This window comes from Homo sapiens, chromosome 1 (assembly GCF_000001405.40).
Source record: "Homo sapiens chromosome 1, GRCh38.p14 Primary Assembly".
NCBI classification, from domain to species: domain Eukaryota; kingdom Metazoa; phylum Chordata; class Mammalia; order Primates; family Hominidae; genus Homo; species Homo sapiens.
Window position 1 is genome coordinate 35,530,611 of NC_000001.11, and position 23,195 is coordinate 35,553,805.

The 23,195-nt window shown below is 41.3% G+C and overlaps 1 protein-coding gene across 18 annotated transcripts in view, besides 5 other annotated features; it reads right to left on the reverse strand.

Moving 5' to 3' along the window:
* Positions 1 to 23,195, reverse strand: part of KIAA0319L (KIAA0319 like) — a 124,170-nt gene that overhangs the window by 97,119 nt on the left and 3,856 nt on the right. The gene's annotated exons all lie outside the window — the stretch shown is intronic.
* Positions 286 to 787: an enhancer, noted in NCBI's record as "H3K27ac hESC enhancer chr1:35996497-35996998 (GRCh37/hg19 assembly coordinates)". NCBI's record gives its function as "activates a minimal SCP1, AML or CMV promoter by ChIP-STARR-seq in naive H9 embryonic stem cells {active_cell/tissue: H9 hESC(naive)}" and the evidence as "EXISTENCE:reporter gene assay evidence [ECO:0000049][PMID:30033119]".
* Positions 788 to 1,287: an enhancer, noted in NCBI's record as "H3K27ac hESC enhancer chr1:35996999-35997498 (GRCh37/hg19 assembly coordinates)". NCBI's record gives its function as "activates a minimal SCP1, AML or CMV promoter by ChIP-STARR-seq in naive H9 embryonic stem cells {active_cell/tissue: H9 hESC(naive)}" and the evidence as "EXISTENCE:reporter gene assay evidence [ECO:0000049][PMID:30033119]".
* Positions 9,339 to 9,388: an enhancer, noted in NCBI's record as "active region_730". NCBI's record gives its function as "activates an Ori minimal core promoter by ATAC-STARR-seq in GM12878 lymphoblastoid cells {active_cell/tissue: GM12878}" and the evidence as "EXISTENCE:reporter gene assay evidence [ECO:0000049][PMID:35858748]".
* Positions 9,439 to 9,528: an enhancer, noted in NCBI's record as "active region_731". NCBI's record gives its function as "activates an Ori minimal core promoter by ATAC-STARR-seq in GM12878 lymphoblastoid cells {active_cell/tissue: GM12878}" and the evidence as "EXISTENCE:reporter gene assay evidence [ECO:0000049][PMID:35858748]".
* Positions 14,508 to 14,557: a silencer, noted in NCBI's record as "silent region_640". NCBI's record gives its function as "represses an Ori minimal core promoter by ATAC-STARR-seq in GM12878 lymphoblastoid cells {active_cell/tissue: GM12878}" and the evidence as "EXISTENCE:reporter gene assay evidence [ECO:0000049][PMID:35858748]".

Consider the following 23,195-nt stretch of genomic DNA (forward strand, 5'->3'; position numbering starts at 1 on the left):
TATTGTGTTCTTTTGGAGATACCATATTTCCTTGCCTTTTCATGTTTCTTGAGTCCTTTTGTTGATAACTGTATATCAAGTGTAACAGTCACTTCCAATTTTTTGTATTGGCTTTCACAGGGAAAGATTTTTTCTTACAGATGTATCTACAGTGTTGGTTGGGTAGGGCACTTTGGCTTTGATTCTGGATGCATGCGGCAGTGTAGTCTCCATACGATTTCTTCGGCAACGAACACCATCCAGCAACGAACACCATCAGTGGCATCTGTGATTTTCTCAGTGGCTTAGGCTACAGTTGTTAGTGGGCAGCATACTTGATTGGCATGGCAACAGCAGCAGCAGTGCGCAGGGAAAGGCTGTCCTCAGGGTGCGTGAAAGTGTGCAGCAGCCCTACTTGTGGGAGACAAGAGGGAGGCAGGGCTGCTGTCTGTAATAGTCACCCCAGGCAGGTAGGTTTCAGGCTCTGGGGAGCATAAGCTTCAGCTTCTGGCAGCAGCAGTGGCTGTAGCAGCTGGCAAGGAGATCCTGTCCTCATGGCACATGAAAGTACATGGCAGCCTGCTGCTGAAGGGTATGGGGTTGCTGCTAGTGACAGTGGCCCCAGGCAGGCAGATTTCATACTCTGGGGAGCTTGCACTTTGGCACCCTTTGTCCTGGGAGCAGCCTCCCTGATACACTACACTGCCCTTTCCCTGGTATACAGGACATTGTGTGGACCCTGTGGTTCCTCTGGGCCCAACCAGTGTCTTGCTGCTAGAGCCCTCTAGGCAGATACGAGGGAATGTCAGGGGGGCTCCAGGGATGTAGAGAGGCAGGGGCTATTGGGCCCCAGGGCAGGATACAGTTTGGTGAGAGCTGGACTCTCAAAATGGTCCTGTGTCCCACTAGGGACCTGGGGGATGCGTGGGACTCAGTGTGCATTCCCTTTCTGGAGCAATGCCATCACACAGGCTCCAGGGATCTCCCTCTGCCAGTATCAGGGCCCACAAGGGTCAAAGCACTCTCTCGTGGCTAGGATTACAGGAGGTGGTGAGAACGTGGACTGTTGGGGATTGCTCACTTATTCTGTCTCCACGTTGGGAAGCCCCTCTGGCTCCCAGCCAATCTTGCCTGGGTTATCCACCTCGCTTCCCTCTCCCTCAGTGCCTCATGTGTTTTCTGTCACTTCTCTACTGAATTCTATACCTCTAGTCGGTCATCTTGAAAGACTCGGGCCCTTATATCTTCGACAATGACTACAAGTAAAAAATGTGAGGCCTAGGAAAAAGCTAGCTTCTATAAAAGAAATGTGAGGCCCAGGGGAGGTTAGCGGGCTATAGTGTTGCTAATAAAACTAATCTCAATGGTTTCCAATAAGAGGAAGAGGTAGGCCTGGCGCGGTTGCTCAGACCTATAATCCCAGCACTTTGGGAGGCCAAGGCAGGCGGATCACTTGAGGTCAGGAGTTCGAGACCAGCCTGGCCAACATGGTGAAACCCCAACTCTAAAAAAATACAAAAATTAGCCGGGCGTGGTGGTAGGCACCAAGTAGCTGAGGCAGGAGAATCATTGAACACAGGAGGCAGAGGTTGCAGTCATCAAGATTGTGCCACTACACTCCAGCCTGGGCGACAGAGTGAGACTCCGTCTCAAAAAAAAAAAAAAAGAGGAAGAGGTACTCTGATCTCTCAGTTCACATGTTTAATTCGTGGGATTTTGACTGAGTTTTTAAAAATTAAATGTTATTTAATGTTGTTACATCATGTGTTCAATAATAAAAATACGAAAAGAAAAAAACAGTTCTTTTTCATCCATTCCCTGAATCATAGTTCTTTGTCTTAGGTGGTTAAAAGACAGTTAACATCTTAAATGATTCTAGTTTCAGCTCTAGGTCCATCATTTACCAGATAGTTAACCTTTGAAGAATAATTTAACTTAAGATTAAATTTTCAGTGTTGATACTCTTGGGACAAAGAGTTCATAAAAGGAGGAAGCAGAAAGGCATTGGTAGAGTCAATATTGGATTCTAGAAGTAACTGGGATAAAAGGTAAGATGAAAATATACTCCAATTTTAGATCAGTTCCTCTCCCTGCCCACGCTGCCATACCCTGGCTCTGCTCCCAGGGCCCAGGCAAAAGCAATATTAAATCTTTACAAAAAATGGCTTACAGTTGGTAGAACCTTAGACTGAAAATCTTTTGGGAAAGTCTGGAATGCACTGTTGGTAGGAGCATGTAGAAAGCTTACCCAGGGTGAGAACAGTGGAGCAAAGCCAATTCCCCTCTTTCTAAAATCATAGCAAAGCAGAGAAAGCAGTGCTCCCATATGTATTACCTGGAGGATCCCCAAAACAGGAGGCTCTGGAACTAGCAATGCTTACTTACATCACCACCTCTCAAAAGACAGAATTCTAATATATCTGGCACAAAATCTAGACCAGGTTTCATAATTCCAAGTAGCAGAGTGGAAAAGTCTACAGGATATATGAATTATTGCCAGAAGGAAATTCATTAAATACTTTTAGAAAGCTGTGAACAACTCTGGAAATATTTAAAGACAGTGCTGTTGGCTCTGGCATTCTTAAATCTCAGGTAATAAGCTTGGCTTCTCAAGCAAACTTGAAAACTGCCCTGGTTAGCAACCAAGTAGGGAGCAGAGACAGAACGTCCCCTGTTTCAGGAGTCATACTGTTAGTGTCCAGAAATGTAAATTCTAACTAAATTCATCAGACTGTATCCCAAAGGAAAGGCTGTGATGGTGGAAATAAGAGTAGAGAGAATGAGCTACCAGTATTATTTCAAAAAAGAAAAAAAAAGCAGTTGATAAATTCTTCTCTTCGGTGGGGTTTTCGCTGCAGAAACAAATACATGGTTAGAGTATTCTGTAGAAAAAATTTGCAATTAATATTTACCGTCATTGAAGCTAAAATTCTTTTCTTGAAATCTCACAATTTTCTAATATGGTCAAGACTTCATTCAAAGCTTTCCCTTGATAATTATACCTATAAATGAACTATTATCAAGGAGAAAGGCACAGCCTTAAATTTGTCTCTTTATTCAGTAATTGAACTATGGCTCTACACCATCTGTCTTCCTACAGCTATCATCAAAAGTATGCATTCTCTCAGAAGCAATGGGTCTCAGCCAAGATGGCTGCCACATGAAAATGAGATAAGCAGGCACATTATCAATCCCAAAAACAACTCACAGGAACCGTTCAAAAACAAACCTCCTCAGGGGGCACCCTCCACCTCCCTTTTGACTGTCAGCATGTCTGTCACCTGCACACCCACTAATAAACAAATACAAAAAAAATGGTTCCACCTTACTCTCCACATCAGTTCTACCCTGCAGGGGTTAGCACATTCAGAAACAAGGCAGAGGAGGTAACTAAATCCTTTGAAGGACACAATCAGGTATTACGAAGTTTGAAAAAAGCCAAGGTAATAACCATTGCCCTCTCTCCTCCTTTTCAAAAGGGGTAACATTTTTTTCCTCAACTACACACAGGTTGGATTGAAAGGTGGCAGCTGCCTCACAAAGCAGTCCTTTGAAAATAATTACTACTCACTGCCTTTGCTATGTGCCTAGCTTTGCTAAGAGTACAGTTTTTTAAATGTATGGTGTAGATGATTTGCTGAAACTACACTAACTGCTACACAAGAATTAATAGGCTTTGTGTACATATTCTGACTTCTTTCCCTTCACCGTGGTATTTCCATTTTTCCTAAAGATCATTCTGAACAAAAACAAACTCCTCATGGAACTACTTGCCCAACAGATACATATCAGCTACTATTCACACTAACTCTTGATTATCTGCTAGATGGAAAACAAGCTTCCAAGGACTCAATCACAAAACCTGAATCTTGCAGTACTTTGCTGGTTAAGAATGCTTACAACAGCAAGTCCTTTCCTATAACACTGTCACTAAAAAGCCTCAAAGATACTGGATTGTGACAAACTGTTGAAAAGAATAACAATCGGTGGCCGGGCGCAGTGGCTCATGCCTGTAATCCCAGCACTTTGGAAGGCCGAGGCAGGTGGATCACGAGGTCAGGAAATCGAGAACTTCCTGGCTAACACAGTGAAACCCCATCTCTACTAAAAATACAAAAAATTAGCCGGGCGTGGTGGCAGGCACCTGTAATCCCAGCTACTCAGGAGGCTGAGGCAGGAGAATGGTGTGAACCTGGGAGGCAGAGCTTGCAGTGAGACGAGATCGGGCCACTACACTCCAGCCTGGGTGACAGAGCGAGACTCCGTCTCAAAAAAAAAAAAAAAAAAAAAAAAAGAAAGAAAAACAATCACAAGGTCAGGAGTTCGAGACCAGCCTGACCAACATGGCAGTCAAAAAATCAGCCAGCTGTGGTGGCGCATGCCTGTAATCCCAGCTACTTAGGAGGCTGAGACAGGAGAATCGCTTGAACCCAGGAGATGGAGGTTGCAGTGAGCCAAGATCACACCACTGCACTCTAGCCTGGAAGACACAGCAAGACTCCGTCTTAAAAAAAAAAAAAAAAAAAAAAAAAAAAGAATAACAGTACCCAGTACCAGAACATCTCCCTAGAAGAGGGCAATATTTATAGGCAGAAGAGTAGGGGAAAGTCCTTTTACTCTACCTACTTGAAACAGAATACTTATACTTCACAGGCTAAAGAAAATATGAAAACCACCCTCATTTAGTCTAGGTGAGAAAATAAATTCATTCCCCAAGGTAATGTTCATACATGTCCCTCATAACATTGAGTTGAAATTTGTTTTCAAACAAAATCCCCTATCAAGATCAACAGCCCTATTCCACAATTGCTCTCTTCTATCTTTTGGCCCCCACCCCAAAAATCTGTGGTTAAAGCTTTAGTTCCTAAAGCTGAGATTCCTGCATTTGAATCTCAACCCAGTCACTTCCTAACTGTGTCATCTTGGGTCAAATTCCTTAGTTTTTTCATGTGTAAAACAGGAATAATTTTAACAGTACCTACCCTACAGAGTTATTAAAGATATAAAGGAGAAAATATATGCAAAGTACTTAACATGAGCCTGGCATATAGTATTAAAAAGCTCAGTATATATTAGTTGCCATTATTTATGTTGTTGTTGTTATACTTCATTTTAGCTCGGCCACCACTTTTTCCAGGAAGGCTTCTCCCATGAAACCTTCACCCCAAGATGCCTCTCTTCTGTGCATCCTACATATACCTCTATCATAGCATTTCTCTCACCAGATCATATTTGTTTGTCTACCTCACACACTCTGCCCTCTTTAAGTGCTGGGGTTGTATATTGTATGTGTAGGCCCAGAAAGATGCTTAGCACATAGTAGACATTCAAGGAGCTTTCTTGTTAATTTTAAAAGTTCACCCAATATTTAAATAAATTTGTGGGATTTTTTCTATACTAACAAAATCAAGCAAAAGATGTCAGCTCCAATATGGAATATCTTGAGTTATAGTCATTTGAATCAGATCCTTAATGTTAATTAATTTCCTTGGCTGAAAGAAGGAAGAGGCAAGAGAGAAAAGTAAAGTTCCTGGTTCACTAACAAATTAGAATGAGCTTTTCCAATTAAATTGGGGAGTGCACTGAATAGGAAATATGAGAGATGTGCAAAGAAAGAAACTGAAGAAAAGCAGAGTGGATAAAAAAGAGATAACTGAATAATATAACCAGCTGGGAAACAGCCTTTCCTGTCTAAACTCTAAACTAGAAAATCCTTTCAAATCCCAAAGAAATCTTTCCTCATGAAAGGACCAACCAAATTTCAGCTCCCTGAGCTACCTATTTCAGACCATTCGACTTCACTCAAAGGTGACATAAGCCTTCACCATGAAAATTTCTGAACAAAGCAACAGTGGAGAATAGCTTCCCAGTTCACCTAGGCAAAGAGCCATGCATCACTGATGACATCTAGATCCATTCACCTTCCCTTGTCCTGAGTAATGATGAAAAAGGAAAAACAGAAAAAGATACCTCAAAGTTCTGGTCACCTAGGTGAAAACAGGGAAACCACTCTATCACAATTCTAATGCCTTTAACTTCTACCTAAAACAACTTAATAAATCAAAAGTTTGCATTAATTGGATACAGGTGCTATTCCATTTCAAAAGACCCATCTGCCAAGGTTTAGCCCAAAGGCATTTTTCACAGCCAAGTATTAATCAAATCACTGGTGTAGCTGAAAATAGCTCTCCTACCATAAAGTCACCTGTTCAGAAACAATCCAGTCATCAAGGGCTTTATAATATTTAAAGGCAGATTGAAGGCAAATGATTAAGCTATGCACTTAAAAAAAAAAAAACAACTGTAACTAGGGGGTTACACTGCTGCATATGATGTACTCAGAATCTCCTGCTTCGCTTTTTCTCCCACCACCTTATGACTAAAAGACTCTGGAGAATGCTGTCAGCAAGGAGAGCACGCCTCCAAGCCACAGCTTGAAGGAGCCCACACCTCTCTATGTAATACTGTCTTTGTACTTCAAAAAGCACAGGTATTAAATTATAACAGATAAACTTTTGCCTATACATAAAAGTGGTTCTAAAAAGAAAGAATTGTTTTTCTAAAAAGAAAAGCACCTAGATATGATGTCGTGAATCTACCAATTCCCTGTGTAGCCCACTTGTAGATGGTATTGTTAAGAATCTGCAGTTGATTGCCATTTCTCATTGCAGTTATTACCGGCTGATAAATTATTTGCATTCAGCACAATCATACCAACCTCCCTTGGAAACCCACACAAAGAACCCTGAATCAGAGCACTATTTTGTTTTTTGGGAAGGTTTTTCCTTTCCTTTCCTTTTTTTTTTTTTTTTTCTGGCTTGTTTTGTTGTTTTTAAAGAGAAGGTCATTTAGAGGGCCGCAGCAGAAATATGTAAATTAAACAGAATTGTAGGCTTGGGAGGAAGTAAGGAAATAATATAGCTAGCCATGAAGTGTTATTTCAGCAGATATGGCCAATAGAGGAAAAGTTTATATCAATTTACCCATTGAAACTCTCTCTTTTTGGAGCATTATGTAAGCGCCATTAAAAAAAAAAAAAAAAAAAAAACTGCAGTGGGCTGAACTGGGACATGTGAGGACTCAATACAACCAAGCTTCAGATACTTAAATATCTCGAACCACTTTTTGCTTATAGCAAATAAAATGCAGAGCTACAGATGCTTTCTCATCTGTGTGTAAATGAAAGCAAAACTGTGTGAGTAGTTAGTATTCTTAGAATTTTTGAGAGCCAGTTTATTTAAATTAAATCAAAGCCAATCTGTATCTGTACAGAAATAATTTCTTAGGGCTCTTATTCTCTAGACTTACAGAGCTGTACAAACTCTTCCCTCTATCCCTCCCTCTAAGATAAAAAAAGTGAAAAGAGCTCTGTGGGTTAAAAGCCACTTCAAATGAATCTGGGAGGAGGAGGTTCAAAGGGATTAGAACATCCCATGTCTTACCAGCCTGCTATAAAACAGGGTTCAGCTATTCTCTGCCCCATTCTTTGTGTTCCCATAGCACATCTCGGAATTGATCATGCTTCTTTATGTTTCTACATCTCTCTCTGCCTCCATAGTGTGACCTCTCTAATGGCAGGAACTTGGTTTTATTTAGCCTGATATATTATTTGTTGACCTAAAATGCGTGTATCTATAGTATATATATAAAATACCTAGATATTAATTATCATTAATAATGTGAATTAAGCATCCTAGAGAAGGTACAAAAATGCAGTTAGGCCAGGCACAGTGGCTCACGCCTATAATTCCAGCACTTTGGGAGGCCGAGGCTGGCGGATTGCCTGAGGTTAGGAATTCAAAACCACCCTGGCCAATACAGTGAAACCCCATCTCTACTATAAATACAAAAATCAGCCAGGCATGGTGGCACGTACCTATAGTCCCAGCTACTCGGGAGGCTGAGGCAGGAGAATTGCTTGCAGCTGGGAGGTGGAGACTGCAGTGAGCTGAGATCATGCCACTGCACTCCAGCCTGGGCAACAGAGTGAAACTCTGTCTCAAAAAAAAAAAAAAAAAAAAAAAAAATGCAGTTAGCTTATTTTAAGGCACTGACTGAATGTGAGATAACACATATAAAGAGCCAGAGACCACAAATATTAGGAGAATGTAATCTAAGTCAACACCATAATGTGGCACTGACATTCGGGTAATTTCATATTGTTTGGTTTATTTATGGCAATCATGTGGCTTTTAATAGACTTCATTTTTCTGACGTGTTTTTACTTGTGTTTTTTTCTTATACCTCCATTTTCAAGTTAATTGTAAGTCACATTCTACTGACAGAAATGAAAATATGGGCAAATTGGTCAACACTCCTGACTGCCAAATTATCTAGTATAGACTATCTCTAACTGCACGGAAACTGGCGTTTCCTTATCCTCATCTGTATAATGGCAACATTTCTCTGCTGCTTCAAAAAATGGTATTAATTCTAGGCAGGGAAATAAGAACACCCAAATGTTCTTCAGTGTCTCTCTCTTTCTTTGACACACACACACTACCCACAGGGACACAGCAAAGCCCTGGAAACATATCGTACACATACGGCCTTTACTCTCCACCACTTCCTCTCCACTGACAGAGGCAGCCATGCTGCCAAGGTAGCAACCCCCACATGAAATACAAAAGAGTGGAGGCGAAACAGCTCAATCAAAACAGCTTGGGAACGGAAAGGAGGGTATGCTTGTCAGAGAAAGTCTCCAGGGATAGGCCAGAAAACTTTTGTTTCTGCCTTGAACATCCTGAGCAAATAACCCTGTTCCAGGTCTGCAGACCTCAGGTCAGGGGCCAACTCCTCCCTTTAACTTTTCACAGAAGGCGTAATAGGAAAACTCGCTGTTATTTGAAAAGTCCATTGTGAGAAATGTCAGAGTGCAGCTTATAAGCATACCCTGGGGAGCACAGCTGAGAGCAATTTTGAAAACCAAGCAGTTAGAAACTGATGAAGTAGAATGCACAGGTAGAAGACAGCTTGGCACTGCTTCAGCATATGGGGCTGCTTGCTTCAGGCCAGATGCCACAGACTGACCCAGCAGGATGCAGATTACTCAACTTTCTGAGATGGAAGCTGGCTCTTCAGCTTTTCTCTACAAGGCTGCTTCATTTATTCTGATTAAGATTCATTCACTGTAGCCACCCCACTTCCATAAGCCTCCAGCTGACTCTGGTTGCCCTCAGTTAAGGACAATAAACATTGAGCTGTATCAAAAACAAACAAACAAAAAACAGAGGAGCCATTTCTTAACAGGCAGGATGGCAGTCCTCTTGAAATGGTGAACTTGAATCTGAAATTAAGGCTACAGAAGTGAAACTGAATCAATGTTACCCCCCACTCCATCTCCCAGGTCTGGTAATATTAGTCATTCCCCTTATTACCTAAAAGTGAAAGAATTCATAAGCATACATTTATTTCAAACTCAAATGTGCTGCTGGATTAGAATCAAAACATAATGTTAAGCCAGTTGGAAGAAAGAGAGCATTCCTAAAAATCCTGTCATCTGCTGAGGGAGTTTAAAAAGGGGAACTGAAGTGAGATGCACTGGGCACCCATCTTTAGGGCAGAGTCTGCAGTGGGTAGAGTTCCAGATAGGCCTTGGCTGGCATTCCTCCCTGCTTCTGTTTCCCTTTGGACAGCGTCTGTGATGGCTAACTCACCATTCAGGGACATTCATAATTCTTTCTCTTCTTAGGGCATTTTATAGTTTCCTTTTGTGATTGGCCAGGGAAGTTCAAGATTTATATAATTGGTGCTTGCTTCATGCTAAGCATTGGAATGGTTCACCTAAGATCCTGAGTAACAAACCTGATGCCAAAAGGGCAGGAGCACCCTAATGCAGAAGACTTTCAAGTGCTGATGGGCTGGGTGTATCTAACGCCCATGAAATCACCACAGGAACACACTTCCAACTTGGGGGCAAAGGCTGCAGCTATAGCACTCTTTCCACATTTCCAAATAACCACTCTAACTGCTTATTCAGGAAATGTGGATTATTAAAGGTGAGAGAGACAGAGCACTGGATAGAAAGGAAAACTGGAGATATACCATCTTGTGGACAGGAACTTCACTTACATAATTCTTGGCAGAAGGTTATTCTATTAAGACCAGCTTGAGACATCAAATTGTCTAGTCTCCTACATTCCCAGGATTCTGCAAAGAAGACTAGGTCTCTATTGTCATGGCATTACCTTGGGACCCTAGGGAAGCCTCAAACTCCTTGAAGGGAATCTTGATGTCAGCAATGCCATCCCTCTCAAAGGGAATTTCTGTTCCCTAAGAATGGCAAAGGTATTAACAGACTGCAAGCTTCATGAGGGCAGAAACCGTATCTGTCTTGCTCACCAATGTATTAATTTTCCCTTTTTTTTTTCTTGAGACAGTCTCACTCTGTGGCCCGGGCTGGAGTGCAACAGCGTGATCATGGCTCACTGAAGCCTCGACTTCCTGGGCTCGAGCGATCCTCTTACCTCAGTCTCTCAAGTAGCTGGGACCACAGATGCACACTATCAAGCACAGCTAACTTTTTATTATTTTTTTGTTACAGGGTCTCACTATGTTGTCCAGACTGGTCTCAAACTTCTGGCCTCAAACGATCCACCTGCCTCGGCCTCCCAAACTGCTGGGATTACAAGCATGAGCCACTGCGCCTGGTCTTACCACTGCATTTCTAATGCCTAGGATAGCAGGCACCTGATAAATATGTTTTGAAGGAAGGAAGCACAGGACAAACTCTGCAAGCTACTTCTTTTTTTTTTTTTTCCTTTTTTTTTTTTTTTTTTGAGATGGAATCTAACTCTGTCACGCAGGCTGGAGTGCAATGGTGCAATCTCAGCTCACCGCAACCTCTCCCTCCTGGGTTCAAGTGATTCTTCTGCCTCAGCCTCCTGAGTAGCTGGGATAACAGACATGCACCACCACACCTGGCTAATTTTTGTATTTTTAGTAGAGACGGGGTTTCACCATGTTGGCCAGGCTGGTCTTGAATTCCTGACCTCAGGTGATCCACCCACCGCAGCCTCCCAAAGTGCTGGGATTATAGGTGTGAGCCACCGCGCCCAGCCTACAAACTACTTCTAACCCAAAACCCAAAAGTGTTGTTGAATCAGCCCCAGTCAAAACACTGTCCTGACCAAAGACAGAGCCAACCTGGCCTACCACAAGGCCTTGCCAAGCATGGGCACATATCAGTTTTGGGGGAAGTGAACTAGGGCAGAGAGCAAGGTGGAGTCGTGGCAGCAGAACAGAGTCCTCTTCCAGAGGAAATGTTTCCTTAGCTGGGGGAAGAAACAAGTGGCCCATCATGCTCCTCAGTGGCATATTACAATCACGGAAAATGCACAATACAATTCATTCTGTCATGGGCTTCAATTAGTCTCAGACCTGTAAAGCTATATGAATGGAGGCCTACTTTCCCCAATAATACAGAAGGCCCAGCTGCCTACCTCATACTTAATAATGTGCAGACAAAGCTCCCACTGGACAGAGGTTTAAGAAGCTAGCAGAGAACTCAACCCTCCTGCCTGCTGGGTCATCTGGCGGTTAGACAAGAATTTAACCATATTAAACTTTTACGTTATTGCTAACAATTGCTGAGTTTTATTTATGTACCTGGGAGTAGGCTAAGCCCTTTGCATGAATATTTTATTTAATACTCACAATCCTGTTAAGAGGTACTGTCATTTCCATTTTATAGATGAAGAACCTGATGGAAAGTATGTTTCAGTAACAGCACCCAGTACATTATAAAACCATGACTGAGACTTGTCTGACACCCAAGTCCATGCTCCACGCCCTTCGCCACTCTGTCTCCTATCTCTTGCTCAGCTGATGAAAAGGCAGGTAGTCAAGACCAATTCTTACAACCTCTCTCTGGAACTTATCCAGTACTATCTGGAGTCAAAAGTGGCTACAGGACCTTAACCATATGGGCTTTTCTTAGGAAAGCTGTTGGAAGAAGGATCAGAAAGAAAGTTCAAAAGGTAGGTCCTCAAATCAAGAGCTATCCATTCTGACCCAAACCCTTCACTACTGTTCATCTGAAAATAGGTGTGCACAGGGAAGAGCTGAGGCTTTAAAAAAATAAAAAAGTGTCCAAACACTAACCACACACATAGTTCTTGACTATGTTCCTGCCAGTTTCACACAATGCCTTGAATTAGAAGCTGTTCCAATTACTGAGATTTTAATAAAATCTCCAAAATAAGCCAAAAGGCTATGCTTCGGCCCTGCAATTGTTGTTTGTTTTTATAAACTCCTCTGCTGTTTTATTATTTCCTCCCTTAAGGAATTCCTGAGGAGAATAAATTTAAGATAGTTTTTAAATTGAGTTGGATTTACTGCCCAATTATGCTAATTTTCTCATCCCTCTTCATTTTGTCACACAAATGGGGAAGTAAGTTTATATTTGCACAGGTCTTCTAAAGGGCAAAAAGAACCCACCAAAATTATGGTTTTCCAAGATAGTAGGATTTAAGATGATTATCTTTCACTAAAGTGTTTAAGCAAGACACAGTGATTTAATTTCACTGAGAGAGAGACCAACTTTAGCAAATTCTGATTGGCCTTACTTATGTCAATTAAATCGTGATATAACAAGACACCATAGACTTGCTCAATGCTAGCTGAATTTTAGAATCAAAAACCTTGCATGGTTTGTGTTAACAGCCAGAAAACTCTACCTTCCCCCAAGTGACATGTACTCAAGTCATTATCCTACAGTCTGAGGAGACTGATTTAGGATTAATAATTTATTACCTTCCTGTACTGCAATGTAGTTAAGAATATAGGACAATTTGGCAGGAGAAAGTTCCTGTTGAAGACTCATTGCTGTAAGATATATTCCATTAGTCATCTGCCTCAATTTGGGTGCCCAACAGATACATGAAGAGCAGAGATATAATGCCACCTAAAAAGTCTCCTGAAAATGCTTTTCCCCTGAAGATTAAGACCAATGCATATTCAAAATATACCATTCTCTTAAAGGAAAAAGACACCACTGGCTCTGACTGGTACAACAGAGGCTACAGCCCTCAAAGTAAGGGCAAACGAGGCAAGTGAGGGCAAGGCCTACAGGTACCTTTTTCCTGCCAGGGACACTTACTTGGGTTCAGGAATACAGGCAGGTATGAGAACAACAACAACAAAAAAAGGCAACTAGTGGTAAAGAGACCTCTTGCTAAGGCAGGAGGTGATTTTGTCCCATCTGCAGTCTCTGTAGAGGTTGAGGGTGATAATTAATCTCTCCCACCCAGAGTTTGGGAATAATTAAAATACAAAGCATGGCAGTTAGGTGCAGATGAAGATCAAAATATTATCTTTATAGTAAGTGATAAGGATGACTGGAGAACATGGCTGAGATGTGTAATCACAAATGGCCTTTCTTATACTTTCCTATACTGAATTCAACTTACCTAACTGGACAAAATGCAGGCTGACCTGGCATGGGCAGACCGGCTAGAGCATGGAAGTGGGACAAAACATAAAAATCCTGAAGACTGGGCCGGGCATGGTGGCTCGTGCTTGTAATCCTAGCACTTTGGGGGGCCAAGGCGGGCAGATTGCCTGCGCTCAGGAGTTCGAGACCAGCCTGGGCAACACAGTGAAACCCCATCTCTACTAAAAATACAAAAAATTAGGCGAGCATGGCAGCATGCACCTATAGTCCCAGCTACTCGGGAGGCTGAGGCAGGAGAATCGCTTGAACCCGGAAGGTGGAAGTTACAGTGAGCCAAGATTGTGCCACTGCACTCCAGCCTAGGTGACAGACTGAGACTCAATCTCAAAAAAAAAAAAAAAAAAAAAATCCTCAAGACTGGCCACTCCATACAATAGGATTCTTTTCTAATCTCATCAATCAGAAAAATCACTCTGCCACTCATGGAGTGAGTCGGAGGAAAGGCAGAGGATATAGCAAAAATTACTCCCCAAAACTTGTTCCCTCTTGGGGAGTGAAGTGCCCACTTAACAGGCTGAGGCTGAAAAACAGAGCAGGAAAGAATGATGTTCCCTAACATGTATATTCCAAGGTACATTATCTTTAATCCAACAAACCTTTATTGCCACCTACTACAGCAGGTATAGTGCTAGATGCTAGAGATGTAACTATGAGTAAAATAGTTTCATGGAGTAGACAGATACATAAACAACTAATTAAAGTAGACTTCTGCTCGAAGCCATAATGGAGTAGCTGATATCAGACTCACCGTCCTGCCGTAAACAACTACAAAACTGGACAGAAGATACAATCCAACTGTTTTTAGTCAGGAGATAACAGGCAGGGCAAGGTTGCAATCCTGAGAAGGGAAACCTGAAGTGAGCCCCATAACTGCCCAGCTGTATGTTAAGGGACAATTTCCCAACCATGACATAGGAAGCCGGAACCCAAACAGAACACATGGGTCTCACTGAGCCCAGGAAGCGGAGATGTGAGTTTGGCTAGAAGGTGAGGGGTAAGAATTTGAGAGGAAGGAGCTGTGAAGAAAGGGGGCCCCAGAAGTCCAGTGGGAGGGTCCCCTGCCAGTCCGTGGCTAGACTACAAAGGCATGCGGCAAGACCACATGATGTTTATTAACTAGATGGTAGATGCTACAGGGCTGAGAGGGAGACTCACTAGAGGTCAAGCAGTGCCCTCTAGGGGGGCAAGAGGAGCATGCTGGAACTCTGGCCCTCTGCCAGAGTGAAGAGTGAAGCAATCACATTAATGCCATACACCAGCAGAGACACCAGAAAGGCCTCACCTTAGGAGTAAGGACCACACTCTAGAGCAAAACCTACTCTGAACCTCTCCTCACAAAGCCTAAGGCCACACAGAGTATAACATGGTATAATCATAGAGAGATGCATAGATATTATGAGAACATTAGAGAAGTCCACACCAGGGGTCTCAGGGAAAGCACGAGAAAGGAGCTTATGTTTATCTGAATTGGAATACATCAGGCAGAATGGTAATGCCATATGCAGAGAAATGGAGCCCTCTACACAGAAATGTGAGATGAACTGTGACATGCATGTGAAGGACAGAAAAGAATAGAGAATGACTTAGGCAGCCAGGTGCGGTGGCTCACACCTGTAACCCCAGCACTTTGGGAGGGTGAGGCAGGTGTTTGAGACCAGCCTGGCCAACATGGTGAAACCCTGTCTGTAGTAAAAATACAAAAATTAGCCGGGCGTGGTGGCAGGTGCCTGTAATCCCAGCTACTCAGGAGGCTGAGGCAGGAGAATCGCTTGAACCTGAGAGGCAGAGGTTGCAGTGAGCCAAGATTGTGCCACTGTACTCCAGCCTGGGCGACAGAGCAAGACTGTGCCTTGAAAAAAAAGAAAAATGACTCAGGGATTTCAACCTCAGAATATGGCTAGAGGTGGTCTTTTCATGGTTATAGGGAATAAAGGAAAAGAAAGGGGGTAAAAGATCACAGGTTCAGTTTTGCGATACTAAGTTAGAGGTAGCCATGAGACATCTTGGCTGGAGATGTGCAGCGTACAGATGGCTAAGTGGTCTGGAGCTCAGGAATAGCTATAAATTTGGAAGTAGTGAGCACACAGGTTACAAGTGAGGAATGAATGAGACTGCCCAGGGAGACCACAAGTGGGACAAAAAAGGGTGAAACAGAACCCTGACAAACAAAAGATGTAAGGGAGAGAAGGGAGTGGGGGAAAAATAATAAGAAAGTGCTGTGCATTGGCTAAGAGGAGGACAAAACAAAGCATGGTGTAACTTAAGGCAAGTGAGGAAACGGTCTCAAGAAGGTAATCAAAGGTGTCAAATGCAGTAGAGATGTTAAGTAAGGTAAGAAATAAAGGCGTCCAACTAGGAAGGTCAGTAGTTACCCTGGCAAAAGCCAAGGTTTGGGCAGAAGCCAGACCTTACTGAACTCAGAAGAGGATGAAGGTGGGAGAATGGAAATAGCAAATGTGGTCTACTCTTTCAGAAAGCTTCACTGACTGCAAAGATCAAGTCAGGGAACTGGACAGCAATCTTTCACGAAGAACAGTGCCTGCCTCAATAAATATTTATTGACTGAGTAAGTAATTTTAAAAATGAACAAAAGAATGAAGAAATCTATACCCATCCAGTTGTTTCTCTAGTCCTTGTCTCCAACTGTGTCAGTTTGTCCATCTATAAACTGAATACGTATTAGGCCCAAGCCAAGTTCCATTTCCTCCATGAAGCTTTCCTTGATTTTTCTAACCTTCAACAACCTTCTCTACTATAATAGAAAAGATGAATAATAACAAGTGTTGGCAAGGATGTAGAGAAACTGGAACCCCCATACTTTACTGGTGGAAATGTAAAATGGTGCAGCTGCTATAGAAAACAGTTTCTCAAAAAAGTTAAACCAAGAGTTACCATAACATCCAGCAATTCCACTCCTATATATAAATATATATATAAAAGTGAAATTTTATATATAAATTTATATACATATATAAATAATGGAATTGCTGGATCATATATATATTATTACATGTTTATATACAAATAGTGGAATTGCTGGATCATATATATTATTACATATATTATATATATGATCCAGCAATTCCACTATTTATATATGTAATATATACATATATAATTACATATAATTATACATATTATACGTGATTATATATAATCCAGCAATTCCATTTATATATAAATTTATTTCATATATATTTATATATAAATTGCATATATATTTTACTATAGTGCAATTGGATATATACATATAGTGGAGTGGAATTACATATATACATTATATATATATATACACATGATCCAGCAATTGTACTATTTATATGTAAATACATGTATTTATATATACAGATATCCAAGAAAATTAAAAACATATGTTCACACAAAAATGTATACATAAATGTTAAGAGCAACATTGTTCATAATAGCCAAAAAGTAGAAACAACCCAATGTCCATCAACTGATGAATGGATAAACAAAAGTGGCATATCCATAAAGCAGAATATTATTCAGCCATAAAAAGAAATGAAGTACTGATACCTGCTAGGATATGGATGAACCTTGGAAATATTATGCTAAATGAAATAAGCCAGACACAAAAGGCCACGTATTGTACGATTCCATTTATGAAATGTCCAGAATAGGCAAATCCATAGAGTCAGAAAGCAGATTTGTGGTTTCTAGTAGCTGGGGGAGGAGAGGATAGGGAGTGACTGCTAATGGGTACAGGGCTTCTTCTAGGGGTGAGAAAAAAGTTCTGGAATTAGATAGTGGTATATCTCAATTTTAAAAAACTTCTTGGCCAGGTGCAGTGGCTCACGCCTGTAATCCCAGCACTCTGGGAGGCCAAGGTGGGTAGAATGCTCAAGGCCAGGAGTTTGACACCAGACTGGCAACATGGCAAAACCCCATCTCTACTAAAAATACAAAAATTAGCCAGGTGTGGTGGTGCACCCCTGTAGTCCCAGCTACTCGGGAGGCTGGGGTAGGAGAATTGCTTGAACCCTGGAGGCTGAGGTTGCAGTGAGCTGAGATCGTACCACTGCAGTCCAGCCTGGGCAACAGAGTGTGACTCTGTCTCGAAAAAAAAAAAAAACTTCCTCTAATCTCTCTACTACAGAACATCTAAATTCTACCCATCTCTTTAGGACTACCTCTACTTGTTTGTATTGAATGAAATTACTGAGAGGTTCCTTGAAGACAGAGTCTCATCAACTTTCTCCTGGACTATTTCATTAACATGCTAATGGATACCCTAACCTCTAACCCTGACCTCCCTCCCTTTTCCATCCATCTCCATCTCCACAATTACCACTTTTCTATACTCCTGCAAAAATTATTCAGAAATTTACCAGTATTATAGTATATTTAATACAGTATTAATAGTTTTATATTTAATACTAGCATTAAAGTATTATAGTGTTTGCCTTAAGAGGTGCACAAGACAAATCCCTCGGGCATGAAAAGAAAATATTAGAACTCTTCATATTTGCTTCTGTCAATCCCTTTAACATTTTGTTTTTGGCATCTCTTACACATATATAAGACATTAGTATAAAATTACGTGTTATAATGTATAAATTTATATACAGGGGTACATTCTCAATTTTTCAATGGATTAAAGTGCATCATGAAAAAAATTTATAGACCATCTACCTAAAAAGTTTAAAATTGAAGCTTCTTAGCATAGCATACAAGATCCTTTGTGACCTAGCCACCACCTACCTCTTCTGGAGCTGCCATACCAGCTTTGCTCTTTATATTCCAGTAGTGCTAAACTGCTTGTGGAGTTTCTTCTATATACCAGGCTGTTTCACTTTTGTGCCTTTGCTCTTGCATTCCCATTGCATGGGAATACCCTTTGAATCCTTCAAATTCAACCTTCACAACTCTGTTCAGGCATCAGCTTCTCTAGAAGATGCTTCTCTAGAAAGAACTCCTTAGAGCACCCTCTTTGCCTCCAAGCTAAATGCTTCTCCTACGGTTCCAGTAGCACTCTGTGCGTTGCATCTTTTTTTTTTTTTTTTAAGAGACAGGGTCTCCCTCTGTCACCCACACTGGAGTACAGCGACATGATCACAGTTCACTGCAGTCTTGAACTCCCGGGCTCAGGTGATCCTCTCATCTCAGCCTTTCGAGTAGCTAGGACTACAGGTGCCCACCACCACCAGCTAATTTTTTTTATTTTTGTAGAGATGAGGTTTCACTATGTTGTCCAGGCTGGTCTTGAACTCCTGGCCTCGGGTGATCCTCCTGCCTCAGCCTCTCAAAGTGCTAGGATAAGCCAATGCACCTGGCCTCTACCTTTTCACTTGCTACTGGTAGTTATTCCAGAGAAAGGATTGTATTGTACTAATCTTTATTATCCTGGTGCCTAGTCTAGAAGCAGACTCCTAGTAAGTTCTCAAAAAATGGTTCTGAATTGAATAATTTATCTCTGTACTCAAAATACGTATTAACTAACTGTATAATCTCCTTCCCAGAGGTAGGGAAATGTCAGTACAAGTTTTCATAGCCAACTGTTAGCTCTGGGCCTAAGGACATTGGCTTCAGTGATTCTCCCTGTTTCAGATTTCTAGGGCCAATTAGGTCCTTGCATCCCCCACAAACATGCACACATAACTCTTCAGATGTATACATTCTTTCTTTGTATGTGTTAATATATTTGTTAAGATTTTAGTCAATCTTGTTGGTCTCAAAAGCATTGGTCTCCTTAAAGTGCCTTTCCATATCTCTGCTCTGATTTTGTTGTTTTTAAAGCTTAATTCTCAAAGAACAATTCCCTTATTGGTAATTTATTAATTTATTCAGTCAACAAATATTTTATGCATCTACTATGTGCCTTGGTACCCGCTAAGAATATCTAGCATAACTAAAAGAGGCAACATGTCTGCTCTCAAGAAGCTGACAATCTATTGTAGGAATTTCCAAAACTCCTGGGATCACTTCCTATTTGTCTCCAGATGAGAATCCCCAGGTCCAAAACACTATTTTTCAAGCCACTTAACAATAAAATTAAACAGAAAAATAGCCATTCCATGGCACACAAGGAAAACACAGACAGACCATCTTTTATCAAATTGTAATCAATGCTTTCTAACAGTAGGGCTTCAGTACTGAACCCAAAAGTGGAAATAAAAAAGCTCACCATGTCTAAGTCAACAGCTGCCTGGGGCTCTACCAAAGATGGAGCAAACTCCTAAGTGGTAAGCGGGAGTGGAGGATAACTGCAGAGCTGCCTTAATTTGGTTAGTTTTTCAGAAATAATCCATGAGCTAAATAACAGCAGGAATCAAGAATGTATTTTATCGGAAAAAAATGTAAACACTCAGGTAAACACTGAGTAAACTCATGAGTAGAGAAATACTGACTCAGGCTCCCACCAATAGGTTTTTGCTGTTATTATTTTGTTGTTGCTTTTTCAAGTAGGTTGTTTTCCCCCTTATATAAAAAGGAATACAAGTATACCAAAGAAAGGCCTGGAAAACACAGAAAAATATGAAGAGATAATAATTCCTCTAGTCAAAAAAATACATAAATATTTAGTTGTACATCTTGTTTCAGACTGTTTTCTATTACATAATTTTTTCTTCTTTTCACAAAATTGACAGCATATTGAATATGTAGTTGCATAACTTGATTTTATCATTTAATATTAGGAGCATTTTCCCGTGTACTTTTTTTTTAAATTATTAAACATTTTTTAATTCTAAAGAGACAGGGCCTCACTATGTTGCCGGCTGGTCTCAAACCCCTAGGCTCAAGCAATCCTCCCATCTTAGCCCCCGAGTAGCTGGGACTAGAGACGTGTGCCACCACACCCAGCTTTTCTTTTAAAATATGAATTTTAAGACTGGATAGTATCCCACCATGTGGAGATGCAAAGATTTCACCACTCTCCTATAATTAAGCAGGTTTCAGCAATATTTTGCAGCACAGAATAAATGACTGTTGATCAGTGCTCTCATTCACAACTATCTAAGTGTATCCTTCAGATAAATTCTTAAATGAAGAATTAAGTCGAAAAATATGAATTTTTTTAGGGCTCTTGATATTTATGCCAAGAAGTTCTCTTTTCAAACTCCTCAGCACTATATGAGGACAACCACATCACCCCTTGGCAGCACTGGATAGTTTTACTTTAATTTTCATCAATATGATAGATTTAAAAGGATATCTCATTTTAATCTGTCGTTTTGATTGGTAATGAGAACGAACATTTTAAATATATTCATTTTAACTTCTTATTTATGGCACTCTGTTTATGCCTTTTATTTATTTGTTCTTTTTTCCTTTCAGATGGAGTCTCGCTCTGTTGGCCAGGCTGGAATGCTGTGGTGCGGTCTTGATTCACTGCAACCCCCGCCTCCCGGGTTCAAGCGATTCTCCTGCCTCAGCCTCCTGAGTAGGTGGGATTACATGTGCATGCCATCACGCCCGGCTAATTTTTTGTATTTTTAGTAGAGACGGCGTTTCACTATGTTGGTCAGGGTGGTCTTGAACTCCTAACCTCAGGTGATCCACCCGCCTCGGCCTCCCAAGGTGCTGGGATTACAGGCATGAGCCACCGCGCCCAGCCCTATTTATTTTTTCTATTAGGATATTCCTTTTAAAAAAAAAATGGGAAGGAGCTCCAATTAAATCAAAGTATATAACAAATATGTCTGTCACATGTTGCTTGCATGTTCCCTCAATTTGAACATACATGGCTCTTGATCTTTTAATTTCCATGATAAAAGCTCCAAATTTTTCTAAAATAGAACTGGCATAACCTAATCCCCACCAGAACTACACCTAACACCACCACCTTTGCACTTCTATACTTAATTAGGGTGCTGTTTTTAAGCACCAAGCTCAAGGTTACTAAAGACTTGCACAATGAGCCTACAATGCTGTGTTTAACCAAGTGCTAGATTGGAAAGCACAGAAAGACTTGGAATTGCTTCTTCATCCTCTATACTTTGAATCCCTCAAATAGGAAGCTGCTTACCATGGTACTGGGTAAAAAAAAAAAAAAAATTGCCACCAGGCATGGTGGCTCACGCCTGTAATCCCAGCACTTTGGGAGGCCAAGATGGGCAGATAACGAGGTCAAGAGATGGAGACCATCCTGCCAACATGGAGAAACCTGGTCTCTACTAAAGATACAAAAATTAGCTGGGTGTGGTGGCATGCGCCTGTAGTCCCACCTATTCGGGAGGCTGACGCAGGAGAATCACTTGAACCTGGGAGACGGAGGTTGCAGTGAGCAGAGATCGCACTGCGCCACTGCACTCCAGCCTGGTGACAGAGTGAGACTCCGTTTCAAAAAAAAAACCTTTGGTCCTCCAAAACATCCCCTATGGTTGGAAGGCAGAGTACCAGAAGAGAAAGAGTATGAGCTCTACAGTGGACAAACCTGGATTTAGAATCCTACCTCCACCATGTTCTTGCTGTGTGACCTTGGCCAAGTCATTCTGCCTCTCTAGGCCTCAATTTCCTTATCTATAAAATGAGAAGAAAACTATCTATTTTTGGGTTATCATGAAGATTAAATGAGATAAGGTATGTAATGTTTACAATTAGGAGTCTGGTATGTGGTAGGTGTGCTTCAAAAAATGTGATTTACACCAGGCATGGTGGTTGGTGTCTGCAATCCCAGCTATTCAGTAGGCCAAAGTTGGAGGATCGACTGAAGCCAGGAGTTCGAGACCAACCTGGGCAAAACAGCAAGACCCCATCTCCTAAAAAAATGTACAAATTAGCCAGGCAGACGGGTGTAGTTGCTCACATCTGTAATCTCAGCACTTTGGGAGGCCGAGGCATGCAGATCACTTGAGGTCAGGAGTTTGAGACCAGTGTGGCCAACATGGCAAAACTCTACCTCTACTAAAATATAAAAAGGATAAAATATAAAAATTAGCCGGGTGTGGTGGTGTGCGCCTGTAATTCCAGCTACTCAGGAGGCTGCGGCAGGACAATCGCTTGAACCTGGGAGGCAGAGTTTGCAGTGAGCCGAGATTGTGCCACTGCACTCCAGCCTAGATGATGGAGTGACACTGTCTTAAAAAAAAAAAAAATTAGCCAGGCATACTAGCTCATGCCTGGAGGCTGAAGCAAGAGGACAGCTTGAGCCCAGGAGTTTGAGGCTGCAGGCAGCTATGATGGCACCATCGCACTCCAGCCTGGGTGACAAGACCCCATCTCTTTTTTTTAAAGAAGTGATTTTTCCCTATTCTGATGGTGCTAAATCAATTACTTATTTAATTCTAATGATCTTATATAAAATGTTGACCTGAAATAGTCAGCTGTCCCAGCAAAGCATCATCTGGGGTAAAAAAAAAAAAAAACCATGTAGATCAGCTTTCTGTCAAGTACAACTTCCACTGCTATAATTATGCAATCATCAACCATCACTGCAAGACAACAAAAACCCCAAAGCTGATGTTACTGAAATTGCTAAATACAATAATTACTAGGGTCTCAAAATCATGACCACCAATTCCTTTAGGAAAGCAACAGAAATCTTTGTAATTATAAGGGAAAAAGGCTGATTAGTTATCCCAGATGGTGGTCTCTACAGCAGAAGGTTTTTGGTCACTGGCCAGAATGGCAGCATACACAGAAATCTTTCTCATATTGCTGTTTTCTCACACTCATACTATGAAAGCACAATATCAACAAAAGAACTTGAAAGAAAGAAAGAAAGAAAGAAAGAAAGAAAGGGCATTCTCCTTTGAAATTTAGCCTTCTTGGCACTGATTCCTGGCAAGAGGCTTTACCCTGG